The sequence below is a fragment of the Homo sapiens genome, chromosome 8, assembly GCF_000001405.40.
Source record: "Homo sapiens chromosome 8, GRCh38.p14 Primary Assembly".
In the NCBI taxonomy this organism is placed as follows: Eukaryota; Metazoa; Chordata; class Mammalia; order Primates; family Hominidae; genus Homo; species Homo sapiens.
This window is the reverse complement of record NC_000008.11, coordinates 63,855,026-63,876,645: the sequence shown is the minus strand read 5'-3', so window position 1 is coordinate 63,876,645 and position 21,620 is coordinate 63,855,026. Positions and strand designations below refer to the sequence as shown.

Here is a 21,620-nt window from a genome sequence, read left to right as displayed (position 1 = left end):
TAAGATGAGGATGATCAAGGGTCAACTTGGGGAGGTAGTAAGTTTGAGATGTCCACGACACTTGAGCAGATATCCAAATGGCTATTTGCAACATAGAAAAGAAATCCGTGCTGAAGATAAAAATTTCAGAGGTAGCATACAAATGCTACTTAAAACCATGGGGAAGATGAGATTACTAAGAAAAAAAGCATAATATATAAGAAAAGAAGGTCCAGGACTTGGACAAGGGGCATCCAACGTTTGGAGGTTAACGAAAGGAGACACCAGTTCTCTGGGTACTATTGCTGTGTAACAAACTACCCCCAAATTAGTGGCATAAAATAATAACAGTCGTTCACTAGTATTATGGCACATTGTTCTGGGAGTTGACTGGACTCAGTGGATGTTTGTTGCTCAGGGTCTCTTTTGTGAATGCCATCAGTCACTGATGAGGCTGGAATAATCTCAGAATCTCATTTTTGCAGATGGTGCTCAAATAGCTGGGGGCTTGACTTGGTGAGGCTCCTCTGGCTTGTCTTCATCTCGAGGTGCTTATTCTTGTTCAGCAATTTCAACATAGGCAGACTTCTCACTCGGCAGCTCAGGGCTCCAAAAATATATTTCTCAAAAAAAGAGAGAGCCAAACTTTAATGACAGAACTTGGAAGCTCTATAGGTGGTTTCACTTATGATCCTATTTGTTAGAAATGAGTTACTAAGGCCAGTCCATATTTAAAGGGTGGGGGTTTAAGTTTCATGTGTTGAAGAGAGGACTGTCAAAGAAGTTATAAACAATGTATAAAATCCTACAATAACCTCAAAAGCACAAGCAACCCAAGGAAAAATGGACAAATGGGACCACATCAAGCTAAAAAGCTTCTGCACAGAAAAGAAAATAATCAACAAGGTGAAGGGACAGCCTACAGAATGGGAGAAAATATTTGCAAATGACCCATCTGACAAGAGATTAGTAACCAGAATATATAAGGAGCTCAAACAACTTAATAGTGAAAAGCCAAGTAATCTGATTTAAAAATAGTCAAAGGATTTGAATAAACATGTCTCAAAAGAAATCATACAATGGCCAACAGGTATATGAAAAAATGCTTATATCACTAATCATCACAGAAATGCAAATCAAAACCACAATGAGATATTATCTCATTCTAGTTAAAATTTCTTTTATCAAAAAGGCAAAAAGTAACAAATTCTGGGGAGAATGTGGAAAAAAGGGAACTCTTGTATACTGTTGATGGGAATGTAAGTTAGTACAGCTACTAAGGAAAATAGTATGAAGGTTCCTAAAAAAAACTAAAAATAGAACTACCATATGATCCAGCAATCCCACTACTGGATACATATCCAAAAAACTAGGCAATCAGTGTATCAAAGAGATATCGGCACTCCTATGTTTATTGTAGAGCTATTCACAGCAGTCAGTAGTCAAGGTATGGAACCAAACTGTGTCCATCAACAGATGAATAGACAAAGCAAATATGGCACATAGACACAATAAAATATTATTCAGTCATAAGAAATAATAAAATCTTGTCACTTGCAACAACATGGATGAAACTGGAGGAAATTATGATATGTGAAATAAGCTGGACACAGAAAGACAAATATCACATGTTCTCACTCATATATGCGGGCTAAAAAAATTGATCTCATGGAGATAGAGAGTAGAATCATGGTTACCAGAGGCTTGGAAGGGTACTGGGGAAGGGGAGATAAAAATGGGTTGGTTAATGAGTACAAAAATACAGTTAGATAGTAAGATAGGATGTGGCATTTTATAGCACAATGGGGTGACTATAGTTAATAATTTATTATATATTTCAAAATAGCTAGAGGAATGAATTTAGAATGTTACCAACATGAAAAAATGATAAATGTTTGAGATGACAATGATAAATGTTTGTAATGATCCTGATTTGATCATTACATACTTTATGCTTGTATCAAAATATCACATGTACCCCATATATTATGTACAACTATTATGTATGCATCAAATTTAAAAATAAAAAAGTTAAAATGAAAATAAACAACCCCTCCACCACAATAACTTAGAAAGAGAAGAGAATATGATTTCCTGGGAGCCAAAGGAATAAGTAGTTTAAGATTTTCTTTACAAAGCTTTTATTTTAGCAATCTACAGTCTTCACCCTCTTCTTTCTGATCTTCCCTTTTGTAGTTTTATAGAGAAATTGACCTGTAGCAAACAATCTGTGTTACCTACTTTAATTCATGATTGAGTATGTAAAAAGAAAGAGAAGAATATGTGCTTTCAAGAAAAGTCAGTCTGAAGCAGAAGTAATTTAATTTATGAAGTTAATATTGTAAACTATTGAGCTAGATCAGGAAGAGATAACTCTGCTTTGAAGATTGTTTGTCCACAACTGAATCAACTTGGTGGTGTCAGTCATTTTTTTTCAAAATGTGTTGATGAAAAGATAATGGAACTGCAGTAAAACATTTGATTACATGTCAGTGTGTGAGTGAGTGAGCACCGCAGAGTCAATCTTCAAGAGGTACTTCACGCACTTGCTAAACCGAACAAACCAGAAAGAATGTTAGCTTCCAGTGGTTGAGAGTTGGAGGCAGCCAACAAACACTTATGGGGCCCCCCGCGTGCAGCCTTTGGACAAAGGTGATAGGGAAATCATCAACCACTGTCCTAGCCTAATCCCTGACTTGGTCCCTTCTCTAAGTTTTGCTTCGTCTAACACTCTACCATGCCCTCTTCTCTTCACCTTCCTCTCCTCCCACAACCAATTTTTTTATTTCTCTAGTTTAAAAAACATGCTGGAACATTATGTGGAGGTTATTGATATTAAATAATTAGTCGAGAGTCAAGAAAATGTCCATTATTGAGCCTTCTTTCTTCTGTTCGTCCATCAGGTTCACTCTTCACCATTTTCCACCCTGCCCTGGGTCCTGGGAGGCTCACTGTCTAGGTTTACATCAGTGGTGGGTTTTGCTTTGCTTTGTCTTCCTCTATGGCTTCAGGAACAGTGCAGGAGCTCTGAGGTGGGGAGGAGAGTGACTGTGGGGTATTGTTTTCTCCTGCACCCCCACGCTGTGCTGAGGGCTGGCCACCTTCATTGACAAAGAAACACAGATCCTCCCAAATCTTCACACAGCCTTCCCTGCCTGTATCAGGGTCCATCAACCACTCCCTCCTGCTGCCCCTTCAGGCCTAGGATTGGGCTCCGGATTCTCACTGTCATTATTTCAGAAGTACTGCAATATTACTTGGTGGTTTCTTTGAATGCCACCCTCACCTTTGTAAATAGTTCTTTGTTAAATTCTCTGTATATTACATAACCTGAGTATGTCTGAAATGACTTCTGAGTTTATGGCTTAAAAAACTAGAAAGACAAAGATTCCATTTACTATGATGAGGAAGATGAAAGGTTGGCTTTGGAATAGACAATGTTGAGTTTAAGATGTCCATGACACCTGAGTAGATATGCAACTCCCGGTTTCAACTTCTCTTCCGTTTCAACTTCTAAATGGGAAGTTGAAACCAGAAAAGAAATCTGTGCTGAAGATAAACATTTCAGAGACATCACACAGATGCACTATGCCAGAATCCTGACTCATACAGGAGGAGGCCAGTGGCTCACCTAGGTGGCAGGCACAGATGGAAGGACAGCTGATGAGGTGCTGAATGTAGTCAAGGCAAACTCTTTGCCAGGCAGCAGAAGGGCCACATTTTTTGTCACTAAACACAGGAGAGGAGAGATGCCAGCTCCAGTGAAGGCTTGAGTGAGGGGTGGCTGCGAGCTGTGATTCAACTCTGGTGTCTTCTAACATTACTAGGTCCAGTTTTTCGGCTGTGTCTGAGCTTTTCCGCAGTTAGATCTCTGCCCTCCCACCTGCGCCTTATCTCCCAAACTCCCCTTCTGTAAACCAGATCATTCCCTGGTCCATTTTTCTAGATCCCCCCTGAAGTCTCATTGTGGTTTATCCCCTTCTACTTTCCTTTGGAATCTTCTTTTTCTCTTGCTATTGCTTAATAGACTTTGATGGACCATTAAACTCAAAGCACAAATCATTAGCCACTGAAAACTCACTCTCTTCCCAAAGCCTCCCTGGGGAGAAAATATTTACATTTCATCCTTTTAGTGCAGCAAAGAAAGAGAAAAAAACGAGGGACCCTACTCCACTAAACACCCTAGACGAAAATGGAGGATATGATCAGGACCCTTGAGGTTTTACAATCTGATGAAGCTGGAAGAGATTTGTTGGTGACATAAAAATATAAAGCTCCCAGTGAAATTGTAGCATGAGTAAGTTCATGTATAAAAATCTACCTGAGAAAGAAAATTATAGATATTGAATCAGTTAAACTAGGAAGCTTTTAAGGAGCAAGAAAATTCTGGATGACAATTGAAGAACAAGAAAAATGTGAATCATAAGAAAAGAGGTTATCCCTGGTAGTGGAGAAAATAAGGAGTGTTTGAATGCACAAATAGAAACAAGAAAGCTGTGTTTTGAATACCCAAGCAGATTTTTTTTGCATAAATGGTGATGAGGAGCAGCAGAACCAAGAAATGAAGAAAATTTAAAGCTAAGAATTTATATCTCAGGCCCAGGATTTCTTGGTAATTATCATCAGTAACTCCTGTAAAAATTTAACAGGGCTTTCAACTTTCCTGTCATGACCTGTAGATGTAGATAACTTTGACTCATCTGACTCCTCATCTTGAATCTGCAGGAAATCCTATGTTGATAAAAGAGCAAAGATGAGAAAACACGGCAGCCCCTGGTCAAATCTTCTGGCCTAAGACATTCAATCAGCTTCACAGCTAGACCATGAAGAAAGAGTTCATTCTCATCAGAAAAGTACCAAGCCAAGAATAGCTTATGGAGCATTGGAGAATACCTACAGAGGACACACTTATTACAAAAAGATAAAGATTTGGCTTGGTGAGATTTAATCAATGGTGCTCCGGACAAGAGAGGTACCCCTCTAGATTGGGAGGATTCTTGGATTGGGAACTGAATAAAAAGGATTCTTTTTTACATGAAGCCATCAATATCACATCACAATACTTATTATTTTATAAATTATCATAACCAAATTTTAATCTTGGAATTCTGTCATGTCTTCATAAAACATAAGTATCTGACAAGTCAACAAGAAATTAAGTAAGAAAGTGCAATTGGACCATCTCTCTGGTTGAGTGAATTAATCTGTGTGTGAATGATGTGCATAAAGACTGCAGTCCAAGAGAGGGATGACATGTGGCCTTGTGCTGACCTAGGCTCCGATGATAGCAGAAAAGCACCATCATCATTTTAAACTTGGAACCCTGTTTATTTTTTCCCCTGTAAAACAGGCACTCATTATGTAATAGCATTGTGTTTTCTTTTAGCTCAGAAACAAAATGCAGCTTGAAGAAAACATTTTCCCTTGCAAATGTGATACAAGCTAATTTCTGATTTTTCTGATTATTGAATTGCAGATATTAACAATGAAAACACATAAAGGGGAAGTAAGCCCATCTGTTGGTCAGAGAAGAATGGGAAAATAAGTAGAGGGTTTAATAAAAATATAAAGGGAAAATTATAAATAAATTAAATTTAAACTGCACTGCACTGCAAACACACTGAGCAAAGAGGGCACTGATACTTCACTATCAAATTCAAATGTCTAAGGGTTACATGGACTAGAGTGTCTTCCCAGTTGTTCTAGCTATAAATGAAAAACACATTAATAACTACTACACAAAGAAAAATTAGTAATAAAAATTGACTACAACCTCCATAACACCCAAATGAATTGCAATTAATTACTTCATTAAAAAGTAAATAAATAAATAAAAAGCTTGCAGGAAGGTATGCCAAGTCTCAAGAAAATGAGTTGTAATATTCTTGGTTAATTACTGCACTTTCCAGTATCTTTCCAGCATCATATATTTCCTTGGTGCCACTTGTGTAAAAAGTATTCTTTAAGAATTTTGAGGATCAATTAAAATGATGTCCCATGTCATTGGAAGTTAGAGGACAAATTGAGAAAAAAGAACCTAAAAAAAAAACCCTCAATAAAACAAGGACCTATTCATCAGATGATTAGGTGATTGTCTTCTATGTATATTCTGGCAGTTGCCAGCCTGTTTCAGTTGTGGCTTTGGTGAAGAAATGATGTGAACTAAAGACCGCAAGTGCCATGAGACCCAGCATCTGAGAATCCATGGTCAAAGAATTTAAGTCAAATCTAGATTAAACATGCAATGTCAACAATTTTGCTTGTTTGTTGTACTACAGATCTTCATGGATCTGATCTTCTCCTATGCAACAGTACGTTGTGATGTCTAAGAAGGGACAATGTCATAGAGCATTTTCTGATCATATTTAAAGATAGGACCCTTTTTTAAAAATGAACCTATCACTAGTCTTGTCAGATACTATTTTTGTTTCACAAGATATCTCATAATCTTTCATGGGAAATACTTTGGGAAGTTAATAATGTGAAAACACTATGATCATGAGCAAAAAAATCATTAAATACATCTTGGACTAACCATGCAGACCTGGAGTTTACTCTGCTATACACTAGTCAAGGATCTGGCTCAAATATTAAAAAAATGAAGACAAAATTTCTTTCTGCCTGTGTGTGCAGTAACCTTATCACTTTTAGTGAGCAAGTAGAGAAGTAAGGACCCAGAAATAAAGGTGTGGTTAGAGAAACTGTGGTCAGGGGTCATTCTAGCTTCAACTCCTAGCCCAGCAAATAGTATATATTTTTAAATGACTGATAATCTCCTATGGAAGATGGAATTTCTGCCCCAAGGAGCTAATAATAAACTTGGGGAGACCTATAAGAAATTCAGCAAATACATCCACTGGGATAATGTGGCTAAACACAAGGTTCTGAGAAAGGGATTGAGAGAAGATATAAACTTGTTTTGGAACAGGTGGGGACTGAAAGTTTGCTCAAGGAAGCTTTCCAAATAAGTAGTCATAGAGAAAGCTGAATCCTGAGGGGTGAGTGTGAAACAACCAAAACCATTTTGGGAAGAAGGATACTTTATACAGAAGGATTTAAATACTCATGAAAGTATGGGCAATTGAAGAAGACCCCAAACCTACTGAGAACCTAGTACTCAGATAGGTTGAAAATCATTAATTATCAACCTATGCTGAGTAAATGAAAAAGATCTTATCTAAGAATGAGGTGATATATTTCAGTTCTAATGGACCTATTGACTGACTGAATCTAAGTTCATGAAAATACTTGAAACTAGTTTCCTTGTCTCTCTACTGATGGTTAATTATAAGACTAGATGACCTTGGAAGCTGACTTCAGCTATAACAATAATATAAAATAAAGCAATATTAGTTTGTGTAACTAACTTTGTTAGTTACATAAACTAACAGAGGAAACTGAGACCCACTGAATTTAAATGACTTTCTCAAAGCCTCACAATAGTAAAGACAGAAGTGGGACTCAAAAACAGGCAGCCTGGCTTCAGAGTTTGCACTCTTAACCACAGCATAAACTGTCTCCCAATATAGAAAATAAAGATAATAAAAATTATCAGATTTCTATTATTTTCTTTAAATCATAAGAGAGGGAAACAATAACAAGAAAGAGAAACAACATAAGTAAACTCCTTAAAATATAGCATATTTAGTTCAAAACTTTTTTTAATAGTGAAGAATTATGAGGCTACACAGTACTAAATAAATAGGTAAATATATTCTATTTACACTGAAATATACTCTAATCACTTAAGAAAATGATACTGTGTGGTAATCCACGTCTATTATTTCTAGAGATTCAAGTTAACATTCCAGCTAAGTTCCACATAGAAGTTGTAGAATTGGGCCATGCGCGGTGGCTCAAGCCTGTTATCCCAGCACTTTGGGAGGCAAAGGCTGGTGGATCAGCTGAGGTCAGGAGTTTGAGACCAGCCTGGCCAACATGGTAAAACCCCGTCTCTACTAATAATACAAAAATTAGCTGGGCGTGGTGGTACATGCCTGTAATCCCAGCTACTCTGGAGGCTGAGGCAGGAGAATCGCTTGAATCCATGAGGATGAGGTTGCAGTGAGCGGAGATCGCGCCATTGCACTCCAGCCTGGGCGACAAGAGCAAAACGCCATCTAAAAAAAAAAAAAAAAAAAAAAAAAAAAAATGAGGTTGCAGAATTAGTCACAGTTGACAGAAACAGTGGAACAAAGACAGAAAGATAAGCTAATTCCAAATTAACTTTGTGATGCAAATGTTAAATTAACCTACCCTGCAGCCTTATTGCTATGCTGTCTTTGAGGTTTGTAACAAAAGATGTCTTTGAGAATCCAGTTATCATAATCTTTTTTGTTCTTTAGTAACCAAGTCTTCATGCCTGAGTTTCAAGATATATGCGTCTGTTTATCAAGAGTGTTATAGTCAAATTTCATTATTCTTAAGCCAATTCTTCAAATATTCCTTTAAATTAACTTTATTCTTGATATGAGGTGTTTTTATATATTTTAATGGCTAAATATATAATCAAAAGCATCACAAAACAACACAATGAATAATGAGCCTTGGATTACCCAGTCATCTATGAGAAGCATCTATCTGTAAGAAATAGTATTTTAAAATTTTTAAAATAGAAATATTTCTTTCTTTGCAAAGAAAGGGCATTTCTGGGGAGACCATATAGAGTGGAAAAAACCTGGGTCTTAAAAGAAACTGCATATCTCTCACTTGCATAGGACAAATTATTTAGCTCTGCTGTGCCTCCATTTTCTCATCTGTAAAATGGAAACAAGAGTACTTACTTTGTGGGTAGGGATTGGGAGGAAGGAGAGAATCAGAAAGAATAGCTAGAAGATGCTGGTCTTAATACCTGGGTGACGGGTTGATCTGTGCAGCAAACCACCATGGCACACATTCACCTATGTAACAAACCTGCACATCCCGCATACGTAGCTCTGAACTTAAAATAAAAGTTGGAAAAATCTAAACAAAACTATGGGGTTGGAAGGAAGGGAACAGAACATAAAACATACATTAAAAGTCTAATAAATATATGCAGCTTTATAAAGGAAGCAAATTCTGACACATGCTACCACATGAATGAACCTTGAGGACACTATGCTAAGTAAAAACCAAAAAAGAAAAAAAAAAGTACTAACTTTGCAATATTGAAAGACTAAATGTAAACAGTAATGTGGTAAGGACATATAAATCCTATAACATACTTTCTGGCACATAAACATGGTTCAATTAAAGTTATTATATTACCATTGATATTATTAAAAGGATTATTAGAATTTATGACCAAATCTCAATCTCCTATAAAATGTATATTTTGACTTTTAGTGATTTATCTCATCATTTGAAAAATATATTTTTTACATGAAAATTAGAGATATTTGATGCCAATCCAAGTTATCTAATTCTGTTATCCATTTGTTTAGAGGGACATACTGATTCAATTCACAAAATTAATGTTGAGTTCCACTGTTGGTTAAAAAAAGAGACCTACTTAAAAAACAAAATGAGAAAAAATGAATAAAGATGTTGATGAGAACCATTTGAGAATTTTCAGTTCACCGTTGACAGTAAATATGCTGTAGCTTCTTTGTTGTAGATGAAATAAAATAGTCCCTATTGAGTAATGGAACTTAGTTTCTGTCTTGAAGGAATAATTACAGAATAATAATGGGACCACTGAGAAATTTATGAGAACAAAATACGTGTCTTTACTGTAATACCAAGATATGATGAAGTAAAGAAAGCCAATGGACCCATCTCAAAGCCACTTGAAAGTGTTAATGTCTCCCAAATGTCAAAACAACACAATTTAGTTAAAAAATAGTCAAATTCCTTGACTGTGTGTTAACAAAACACATAAAATATATGCTTAAAAGACCAAAGTGTTTATTTTTAACCAGTTTCTTTGAAGTCTTACAAAGAATTCCAAGGTATTACCTTATTGTGTCCCTAGTGCCAGGGCCAGCAATATGGCATGAAAACAGCACAGTCACATAAGGCCCTGTCCTAAGAAGGGTCCCATGGTTGAGGTTTAATGCTTTGTGACTGTCATCTTAAAATTTCTTAACAATTTTATCTTTGAAATCATTTGTGTTTGTAATTAAGTCTTATGGGACAATGAAGCATGTGTCACAGGGTTGGAGCCTAGCTCACACATAATTTTGCCTCCTTCCTGCCTCCCTGATGTGCATTCTAGACTGCCCACTCCACCATCCCTGGCACTCTGGGAACTATCTAACCTCCTCCTTGATGCCCCTGCCCATGGTAGGTGCCTGTGTGCAGGAAGAGTTGGAATTAGATGTATGGGCTCCTGTGTCTTAGAGAAGCATGGTGGCAGCTATCTCAGTTTAAGGCTGGGAGCACCGTAGCACACTCGCAGATGACTACCAAACCCCTCATCCACACTTGAAGCAGGTACCAAGCATACCCTGAAACAGAAGCTATAGTTTATTGGGGTGAACTGTCCACTGTGAGCTGTAGCAGTTGTCCTGTGGGAAGGGGAGATGACTACGAAGTGGAGTATCCCATTGCCTGAGGGAGCATGACACTAAATAGCAAATGAAATAAACGAGGACTGGCCAAGTAAGTAAAAGAAAAGGATTGTATGTGTCAGTACCTTGAATGAGATTTCCCCCTGCTTTTTGAATAAGCAGTTTGACATTTTCATTTTTCACTGTGATTTACACATCGTATAACCAGCCCTTCCTACTGCCCACTATGCCGTGCATGCAGTAGGTACTTAGTACATATTTACTTAAAGGATGAGAAATATACTCTTCACTAAAGAGACTGCCATTGTTAATCTTGACAATTTTCACTTATCAAGTAATAAAAAATTACCTTATATTTCATGACGAAGGAGGATGCATCCTGTTAGTAACAAAGGAGAGGAGAGTGATAGTGGCTACTGTCATATTTTTGGCTCATTAGAGAACCTCAACAGAGTTATTGTTCTTCTCTTTGCATAAGTCATAGAAAAAAAGTCAAAATTCAGGATTATGTAATGTCCAAATTCAGCACCTTTGACTCTTGCTTCATTGCAAGAGCATTAAGGAGCCCAAGGTATGGAGCTCAAAACATCTTTTTTTTCAAATAATTTAGCTTTATCCCCATTTTAAGACTGATTTTTGTACGAGATTTCCTTTGAAAAAAAAGTTTAAAAATTACTACCAGAAGAGGAAGCCTGGAGACTTCTAATTATGGGAAGATGAAGTGGACATGATTTAATTCATTTCTTCTTAGTAAGTCTAAAAATCCCTGAACATTATATATATATATATATTATATATTTTATACATATAATATATATAATATATAATATATATAATATATAATATATATAATATATAATATATATAATATATAATATATATACTATATTATATTATATTTATAATATATAATATATATACTATATTATATTATATTTATAATATATAATATATATAAAATATATAATATATATATACACACACATATATTTAAAAAATAATGAGGACCTTGAAAGGTGGAGACAAGAAGGGACCACCCAGTGACCATGAGACCTAGAAATGACACTATAGCAAGTTCTCTGCATTTTCCTTTGGCCTCATATGTTCCAGACTTGATGCTGAAAAAGTTGTCAACTCAGAAATGCTAACACTTATACACCAAAAATAAAAGAAAACAAAATAAGAAAGCCCCAAGAAAAGCATGTTATATATAGCCAAACACCAGGAAAGGGGCAACCTACCAAAACAGGACCCTATTAAACAGTAATCATTCTGCTGTAGCCAAACACAACAGAAAAAAACTGTGGTCCCACCCCCAACTATACCACCTAGATCTGAGTGGGAAGCCTAAAATTCCACACTCATGAGGCTGTAACAACGTGCCCCAGTTGCTACCAGGCTGGTATCAGAAAAAGCCAAGAAGGTAGCTAGGACTTTCATCCATCTGCTAATAACCAGTCCCCCCGACCAATCCCTTACCCAATGCCATACAAAACAAAATGAGGATCTTGAACTTCCATCTCCAGTCAGAAATAATGAGATACCCATCCTCTTCATTGCTGGGGTGCTGTCAGAGGAAGCTCAGTGAGGGGTCAGGACCTTCAATATCAGCAAGCAGTAATGAGGCTACCCCATTGTGGTGTCTGTGGAAGCCATGTGGGGAGCTGGAAATCTCACCCTTGCCCAGCAGCAATAACCCCCTCTATATTTTTTGTTTATTTTCTCAAACGTTGTCCAGATTAGGAAATTTGTATCATTCCATCTTCTGTTTCATTAATTTCTTCTTTCTTCTGTTGATTTCATAAGTCAACAGAAGCTGAGTGCCACTAATGAGATAGCCCTTCCCTTCCCCTAACAAAGCAAGATCGTGGAAGACCAGTTAAACAAAGTTTTAAATAGGATCCAAAGTCTCATATAATACAAAAATGTATAATAAAAAATCAATAGAAAATCACTTCCATACTTAGATATAAGAAGATCTCAAACTGTTTAAAAAAAGGCAATCAATAGATGTCAACACTGAGATGGTAGACGTTAGAATGATTTGACAAAGAATTTTAAGGCAGCCATGATACAAATGTTTTAATCAGCAATTACAAACATGCTTCAAACACATGAAAAAAATAAGAAGCCTCAGCAAAGTTATAGAAAGCCTCAGCAAAGACATAGAAAATATAAAGCAGAACCAAATGGAAATTTGAGAACTGAAAAATACAATAACTGGCATAAAATGCTCAATAAATGTGCCAATAGCAGAATGTGGGAGACAGAAAAGAATCAATGAAATCAACGAAACAGAAGATGGAGTGATACAAATTACCTAATCTGGACAATAGTTGAGAAAATAAACAAAAGAATAAATAAATAAACAGAACCTCAGTAACTTGTGGAGTATAACAAAATATATAACATTCCTATCATCAGAGTCACATAAGAAGTGAAGAACAAAATAGGGTAAAACCCTAAATATTTATTCCAAGACACTGAGTATTTACATTTCTGAAAACTAAAAACAAGGAAAAATTTGAAAACAGCTGGAGAAAAAAATACCATATAAATATAGGTGGAAAACAATTTGAATGACACAGAGGATAACTCATCAGAAAGCATTGAGGCCAGAATAAAATGCGTAATATATTTTAAGTGTTGACAAAGCAGAACTATCAAGCTAGAATTACATACCCAGTAAAAATATTCTTCAGCAATAAATGAAAAATTAACACATTCTTGGATGACGGAAAACTAAGAGAATCTATTATCTGTAGATCTACCTTAAAAGAATGACTAAAAGAAGTTCTATGAACATAAGGAAAATGATTTTTTAACAAAGTAACCTTAGAATATCTGAGGAAAGAAAGAACATGATAAACAAAAATATGGGTAAACTGAATGTGTTTTCTTCTCTGGAGGTTTCAAAATAATGTTTTAAAGTTGAAGCAAAAATTATAACGTTGTCTAGTGTGTTTCTAAGGACACATACAGAAAATATTTAAGACAATAATATTGTATACGGGTCAAGGTAAAGGGATGTAAAGGGAGTTAAGGTTTCTATCCTCTATTCAAATCTCTATAATGATAACAATAACCTGTGTATTTAGTGGTTGCTATAAAAAAAAGACATTCAAAAACATTATCAGTAAATCAAAATGGAATTTTAATAAATGTACGAGCAACTCACAGGAATGAATAAAAGAAAAATAATAAAATAAATAGAACAAGAAAAGCAAAAGAAAAAGAAAATTGTTGGCTTTAAACCTTAACTTAAATATTAAATGTGAATGACCTAAATAAACCAATTAAAAGACAGAGATTGGAAGAATGGCTAAGAAAACATTACCAAATACATGCTATTTATCATAATCTCACCTCAAATATGATTATATAGGCAGGTCAGATGGAAAAAATATCATGCAAATATTAATCCAAGAAAAGCAGGGGTGGCTTTATTACTATCAGATGAAGTAGAGTTCAGAAAAAGAAAATTACCAGAGACAGAGAGAGGTGCAATGTAGTAATAAAATGGTGAATTTACCAAGACAACATAGCAATTCTAAACATGTATATACCAACAATAGAGTAGCAAAATATGCAAAGCAAAAGTTGATAGAATTGAAAGGGGAAATAGACAAATCCACAACTATGTAGAAAGATTTTAATACCTCTCTGTCAACAATTAAGAGAACAGCTAGACAGGAAATCAGCAAGGATATAGAAGAACTCATCAGCACTACCATCCTGTAGGATCTATTCAATATTTATAGTACACTCCACCCAACAGAAACAGAATGCACATTCTTTTCAAGTTTTCTCAGAACTTATATGAAAATAAACTATATCCCGGGCCATCAAGTGAATCTTTACAAATTTCCACCCCAAGGGCATCAAATTAGAAATCAATAAGAAAAATAACAGGAAAATCTCCAAGCACATGCAAACTAAACTATACATTTTAAATAATGTATTGGTCAAAGAGGAACTCTCAAGGAAAACAAAATACATAGAACTGAATAAAAATAACAATACAATATATCAAAATTTGTAAAACACAACCAAAACAGTGCTGACAGAGAAATTTATCACACATAATGAATACATTAGAAAATAGGAAAGCTCTCAAAGCAATAATCTTAACATTCAGATCAAGAACCTGGGAAATGAAGAGTGAAATAAACCCAAAGCAAGTAGAAGAAATGCAATAATAAATTATAGAAATCAATACAATTTAAAACTGATAATATAGATTAAATAAATGAAACTGAAATCTAGTTCTTTTAAAAATCAATAAAACGACTCTTGGAAAACTGACAAGGAAAAGAAATAAGACACAAATTACCAATAACATAAATAAAATAGAAGGTATTGCTATAAGCGCTGTAGAGCTTAAAAGAAAAATATGAGATTACAAAGAACGTCTCCACACACATAAATTTAACAACTTAGATGAAATAGACCAATTTCACAATAAACACAATCTATCACAACTGACTCCATATGAAATCAATAATTTGAATAGCACTGGAACTTTTTAAAAAAGAAAACTATAGACTAATATAAGTGTAAAAATTCTTAACAAATATTATAAAATAGTATACAGCAATATATTAAGAAATTATACAACACGACTAAGTGCAGTTTTTAATTTTTCCTACCCTAGGGGTGTAAAGTTAGTTGGAAGTTCAAAACCTATCAATGTAATCCCACCATATCTACAGGCTAAAGTTGAAAAATTAAATGACCATATTAATTAATGGAGAAAAACATTTGAAAAGTTCAACATTCACTTATGATTAAAGATTCTGAGAAAAATTGGAATAGAAAGGAATTTCCTCAAATTAATAAAGCTTATCTACAAACTTACAGATAACTTTACATATAATGGAGAAAAATAATGTTTTCTCAAAAATGGGGGGAAAGCAAGGATATCTGCTCTTACCATTTTTATTCCACAGAGTGTTGGAAATTTTAGCCTGTGCAATAAGGTAAGAAAAGCAAAGAAAATGCATGCAGACAAGAAGGGAAGAAATAAAGCTGTTCTTATTTTTAGATGACATAATTGTCTATATGAAAAATCCTCAGGAATTTTCAAAAAAAATTCCTAGAACTCAGAAGCAAGCTCAGCAAGGTGGCAGGACCCAAGATAAGCAAAAATTAATTTTATTTTTAAATGCTAGCAATAAACACAAATAAAATTTTAAAATATAGTACAAGTTAAAACTGCTCAAAGTAAATGCAATACTTAGGTATAAATCTGGCAAAGCTCATATGGACTTATATCTAGAACACCTGGACCAGGTGATTAAAGAAATCGAAACTTAAATGGAGAGATATACTGTGTTTATGGCTTGGAAGACTTAGCATATAAAGATGTCAATTTTCCCTTAAATTAACATACAGTTTTAACACTAACATTACCAAAATCCCAGAACGATTTTTTTGTAGATATAGATGGGCAAAGAAACTAAATAGCTAAACAGTTTCATGAAGAAGGAGGAGGAGAGAATAAGTCTCTTTGATTTCTTTACAATAATCAAGATTGTGTGGTTTGGTAAAGGGAAAGACACATAGATTAATGAAAAAGAAGAGATAAAGCAAAAATACACCATCCAGATTTGACCAACTGAGTGTTTTTGTTTTTGTTTTTGTTTGAGACAGAGTCTTGCTCTGTCACTCAGGCTGGAGTGCAGTGGTGCGATCACGGTTCACTGCAAGCTCTGCCTCCTGAGTTCATGCCATTCTCCTGCCTCAGCCTCCTCATTAGCCGGGACTATGGGGGCCCACGACCACGCCTGGCTAATTTTTTTTTATTTTTTTTATTTTTAGTAGAGATGGGGTTTCACCGTGTTAGCCAGGATGGTCTCGATCTCCTGACCTCATGATCCGCCTGCTTCGGCCTCCCAAAGTGCTGGGATTACAGGCATGAGCCACCGCGCCCGGCCCCAAATGAGTTTTGACAAAGGAACTAAAAGTTCACCATTTTGACAAGGTGCAAGTTTTGAGTTTGACAAAGGTTCAAAAGCAATTTAATGCAGGAAGGATATCCTTTTTAGCAAATGGTGCTGAAGCAATTGCCCATTCATCAAAATAAGAGAAAAAAAGAAAGAGAAAAACAAAAAGAGAAATTAAAAGAAAAAGAATCTCAACCAAATTCTCTCAGCTTATACGAAAATGTCACTCAAAAATAACTTAATGTAAGTGCCCACCAACAGATGAATGGATAAAGAAAGATGTGGTACATATATACAATGGAGTACTACTCAGCCATAAGAAGAATGAGATTCAGTCATTTGCAAAAACATGAATGGAACTGGAGATCATTAAGTTAAGTGAAATAAGCCAGGCACAGAAAGACAAACATTGTATGTTCTCGCTTATTTGTGGGATCTAAAAATCAAAACAATTAAACTCATGGAAATAGAGAGTAGAAGGATGACTACCAAAGGCTGGGAAGTGTAGTCAGGGGTTGCAGGGAGTGGTGAAGGGGATGCGGGGATGGTTAATGGGTACAAAAAAATAGCACAAATGAATAGGGCCTAGTATTTGATAGCACAACAGGGTAACTACAGTCAATAATAATTTATACATTAAAAGTAGCTAAAAGAGTATAACTGTTTGCAATACAAAGGATAAATGCTTCAGGAGAAGGACACCCCATATGCCATTATATGATTGTTATGTACTTCATACCTATATCAAAACATCTCATGTACCCCATAAATATATATACCTACTATGTACCCAAAATAACTAAAAATTAAAAATAAAAAACTCAATGTGCATCACAAATTTACATGTAAAATATATAACTGTAAAACTTTTAGAAAAAAAAAAGGAAAAGTGTTGGGATCTAGGCCTAGACAAAAAAATTGTCAGATTTGACACACATGGCACACAATACATAAAAGGAAAAAAATGATAAAGTAGACTTAATCAAAATTCAAAACTTTTGCTCTGCAAAATACCCTGTTAAAACGATGAAGAAATAAGCTACATGATGGGAGAAAAATATCTGTGACCCATATATCTGACAAAGGATAATATATAGAATATATAAAGAATGCTCAATTTCTTCAATAAGAAAGCAAACAATCCATTGAAAACATGGACAAAAGATATAAAAAGACATTTCACTGAAGAAAGTATACAGATACAAAATACATAATTAGTAGGTATTATTAGAAATTATGGAGATGCAAATTAAAACTACAAATAGATACCATTACACTATCAGAATGACTAAAATAAAAAAATAGTCACAGCACCAAATGATGGTCAGGATGCAGAGGAACTGGATTACTCATATTTTATTGGTGGGTACTGATGGGAATATAAAACAGTAGAGTCACATCGGAAAATAGTTTGGCAGTTTCTTAAAAAAGTAAACATGCACATAACATATGACCAAACAATTACACTCTTGAACTTTTATACCCAATAAATGAAGACTTGTGTGCACACAAACAGCTGTTCACAAATGTTTATTTTGTAATGTTTATTCATAATAGCCCTAAACTGGAAACAACCCAGTTGTCCTTCTGTGGGCAAGTAGTAAACAAACTGTGCTACATCTACACCAAGAAATACTATTTACCTATAAAAAGGACTGAACTATTGAAGTAGGCATCTGCTTAGAGGAATCTTTACAGAGTGTGCTTAATGAAAAAGAAATGCAGTCCCCAGTGGTAAAATAGCCTATGATTCGAGTTATCTAACATTCATGAAAGGCAAAGTGACACAAACGGAGGAGACGTTTCCAGGGGCTAAGGAGGGGTAAGAGGGAAGGGACTGTGGCTGTAAAAGGGCAACAAGAGGGATCCCTGTAGTGAGGAAATGTTCTGTATCTGTATTGTGTCAGTGTCAATCTTCTGGGTATAATATGCTATAGCTTTGCAGAATGTAGTCATTGGGGGAAATGGGATAATGCGTATATGGGATGTGTCTGTATAATTTCTTACAACTGCATGTGAATCTACAATTCTCTACATAAATTCTTTAATTAAAAAAGCTTTTAAAAATCATAAATTTGTGAACATTTAAGAAGGACTCATAGCAACTGCATAAAATAGATTACGCTTTTTAAATAATTAGGTTCATGAATAGCTCAAGAACTTAGCAAAGGTAAAAGCTTACCACCTATATTTTTTAGAAGTCCTTTCTGTCTTGAATAGCATCTAGCAGACTAAAGTGAAAAATGGAGTAACATAATTAGAAAAACTTTAATAGAAAATTGTAAAGGATTTATATTTAGTATTTCCCAACAAAACAATGAAACTGGGAAGCTTTGTTTCAGTTGAAATCATTACAAAATTGCCACAAATAGGAATGTACCAAAAATTGGAGTGATGGAAAACCTGAAGAGGAATTCATTGAGCAATCTGCTATAGTCATGAAAGTGTTAATGCACATTTCTAAAAATCCCAGTCCACATGCTTATGTACTTCCCAGGAACCTTTGCATTCTAGCTTTTTAATATATGCCTTGGGTGTTTATTAATAGGCACTTTGGAAAATCATTTAGGCCACTGGCTTCCTTCCTCTTAGTGTGGGGAAATAGTAATTTACTAAATAGCAACTCATTAATGTGAAAGAGTTAATGGAAAGACTATGTTATGCATTTTGATAATCTACTTCAGTAAATATAACTACATAATGATGATTATTTAGAAATATAAGTAGTAAAAGTAAATCTAAATAAAGGCATTATTTATAAAGTTAGGGCCAGTCATATTTTCCCCTGTATTGGTAGGATAAAAGTGATTTTTTTAGTTGTTTTAATTCTAAACTGTTGGTAATTTCGAATGAAGAAGAAAAATAAATCATTTCTGGGGAAGTCCAGAGAAAGAAGCTTGGAATAAGGATGATTATGGCAAGTTCTTTATCCTTGAAATTTTTCTGTGTTATCTAAACTGTTGGTAATTTCGAATGAAGAAGAAAAATAAATCATTTCTGGGGAAGTCCAGAGAAAGAAGCTTGGAATAAGGATGATTATGGCAAGTTCTTTATCCTTGAAATTTTTCTGTGTTATCAAGTGATCTACTTTCCCTCTCCTTTTACTTTTTTCACAAGGCAAAGCCTTCCAGCCAGTTCAATGGTGGGAGTCTCCCCCTGCTCTTCCTGCACAATCATTTCCCATTGAGGAAGAATGTGAAAATGACGCACAGGTGAGGGAGGCATACTATAAGACCGCTTCTTACCTTTCGTTTCCTGGAGCCAATATGAATGAAGACCCAGAGAGAGGAGAAGGGAAAGAGAAGCTGCCAAAAACAGACAATGGGAGAAAAGAAGTGAGCACCAAGAGCATCCTGGGATGAAAATGAGGAAGGCTGGAGATTTGTCATTGTCAGTGTTGTCATTTTCTGTCGTATTTTAAATCTGAGAGCTTTTATGGTAGGAGTATATGTGCTGTTTTATAATAGCTTAGAGAAAATTTTTCATTGGATGTTTTAGTCCATTCATTCCTTAGCACTTACAAAAGTCACAGGCAAAAATCAAACGTGCAAGCAAATCCCAAACTCTCTACATGTAAAGTGGTGAATTCTAATTATTTTTCAAATTTGTTCAGTTGTTATAGTTATGCCATTGCTGTGTATTTGTATTTATCTTTTTTATTAAATACATATTCACTAATCTGCCTGATTTGTGATTGTTTTATTTAGTTTTCTTTACTCCTTGTTTGTACTTTGGGCCTGAGGTTTTAGAAGATGATCTGACAAAAGTGTATTTCAATCTGGGAGAAGTGATCATTGCTCAATAACCATGATTGATCATTGATCATTAACCATGGATTAGCCATGGGATGATTTGTCCTAGAGGATGAGGTTTTAGCCCCTGTCATTGTCACTCTATCTTATGTGGGGCTTAGAATCTCATCAAATTTTTCTTTGATGCTTCTTGGCTACCATTATCCATTTGCTCAGAATGTGTCAGTCCCAGCCCAGTGATGCCTAACCAGGAGCATTATTGGGTCACTGCACATAGTTTTGTGATTAATTCATTTAAAAATAAACTGTCCTTGAATTATGCTGAGTCGTGTCATCCGTTTCCTGAAGAAATCCTGGTTGATACACCTAGTCAATAATTAGGTGTGAGACCAGCCTCTAAAAAGGCATTCTAGTTGGATACTTTACAGATACTGGATTTCCAGTGCCTGTGCTCCACTGGTCCCTTGGATTAAGGAAAACTGGTAGAGATACTTTTCAAAGAAAACAAAAGGAACATATTTGCTTCCCTGAAGGGTCCCTGGGGAAGGCAGATAGGTCTGGTGGGGATTTGCAACATTCTGCATAATGCTGTCTGCCTCTGTCTCTAAGAGGGCCTAGCACGTAGTCCATGCCAGATGTATTCTGTATTCTCCAGATCCATTTTTCTTCCTTTTGCACCTTGCTTTCTGCCTGTGAAGGCTGAATTTCGTGGACTGCATCAACTGGCTCTGCACAGGCTAATAGTTAGGTTCAGCCAATGGGGAGGCTTGGCAAGAGAAAAAGGAAAAACAAATGAGGTCAGGGCAAATATTGCCCTGGTTTCCTACATAAGGGGTCATCTCAGGCTGACCGTGTCCCTTCACGGAAAGTCACTTCTCTCCGGATTCCTTTTCTATGTAACTATTCTGTATTTCAGTAATTTCTCCCATCTGTCATCCCTCAAGACTACGGGCAATAACAGCCCACCTACTGTTAGCCCTCGGTTCCTCAACCATACGTTGAGGAATTCCGTGTACCCTGCACACACCTTTGTGATTAATTCAGATGAAAATAAACTCTCCTTGAATTATGCTAATGTGTGAGTGTCATCTGTTTCTTGTTGAAATCCTCATTGATATAGCTAGTCAATAATTAATAGTTAATATTTATTGAATGTTTACTATTCTAAAAGATGCATGGGAACTGACACATTAAATCATCTCAATAGGAAATATCAAGAGATACTATTATTATCCCTATTTCACAGCTTAGAAGAGATTAAGCCATATCCCTGGGGTGCACAAAATAAAGTGGTGGGATGTGATTTGCACCAGAGCATTCTTCTGTCTCCAGAGTCTGGGCTCTGCACAAATGCCCATTCAATGAATGAATGCAGACAGAAATACCTGAGAGTTTCAGTTTTACTGTTCTTTCAAAAGTACTGGGTATGATCATTTATATTTTTAGCTGCT

The 21,620-nt window shown here is 35.4% G+C and overlaps 1 long non-coding RNA gene across 1 annotated transcript in view; it reads left to right on the top strand.

Moving 5' to 3' along the window:
* Positions 1–19,703, top strand: part of LINC01414 (long intergenic non-protein coding RNA 1414) — a 511,616-nt gene extending 491,913 nt beyond the window's left edge. The window contains exon 5 of the long non-coding RNA NR_125826.1: positions 19,535–19,703. This is a non-coding gene — a long non-coding RNA (long intergenic non-protein coding RNA 1414). The remainder of the gene's footprint in view (positions 1–19,534) is intronic.
* Positions 19,704–21,620: the final 1,917 nt, after the last annotated feature.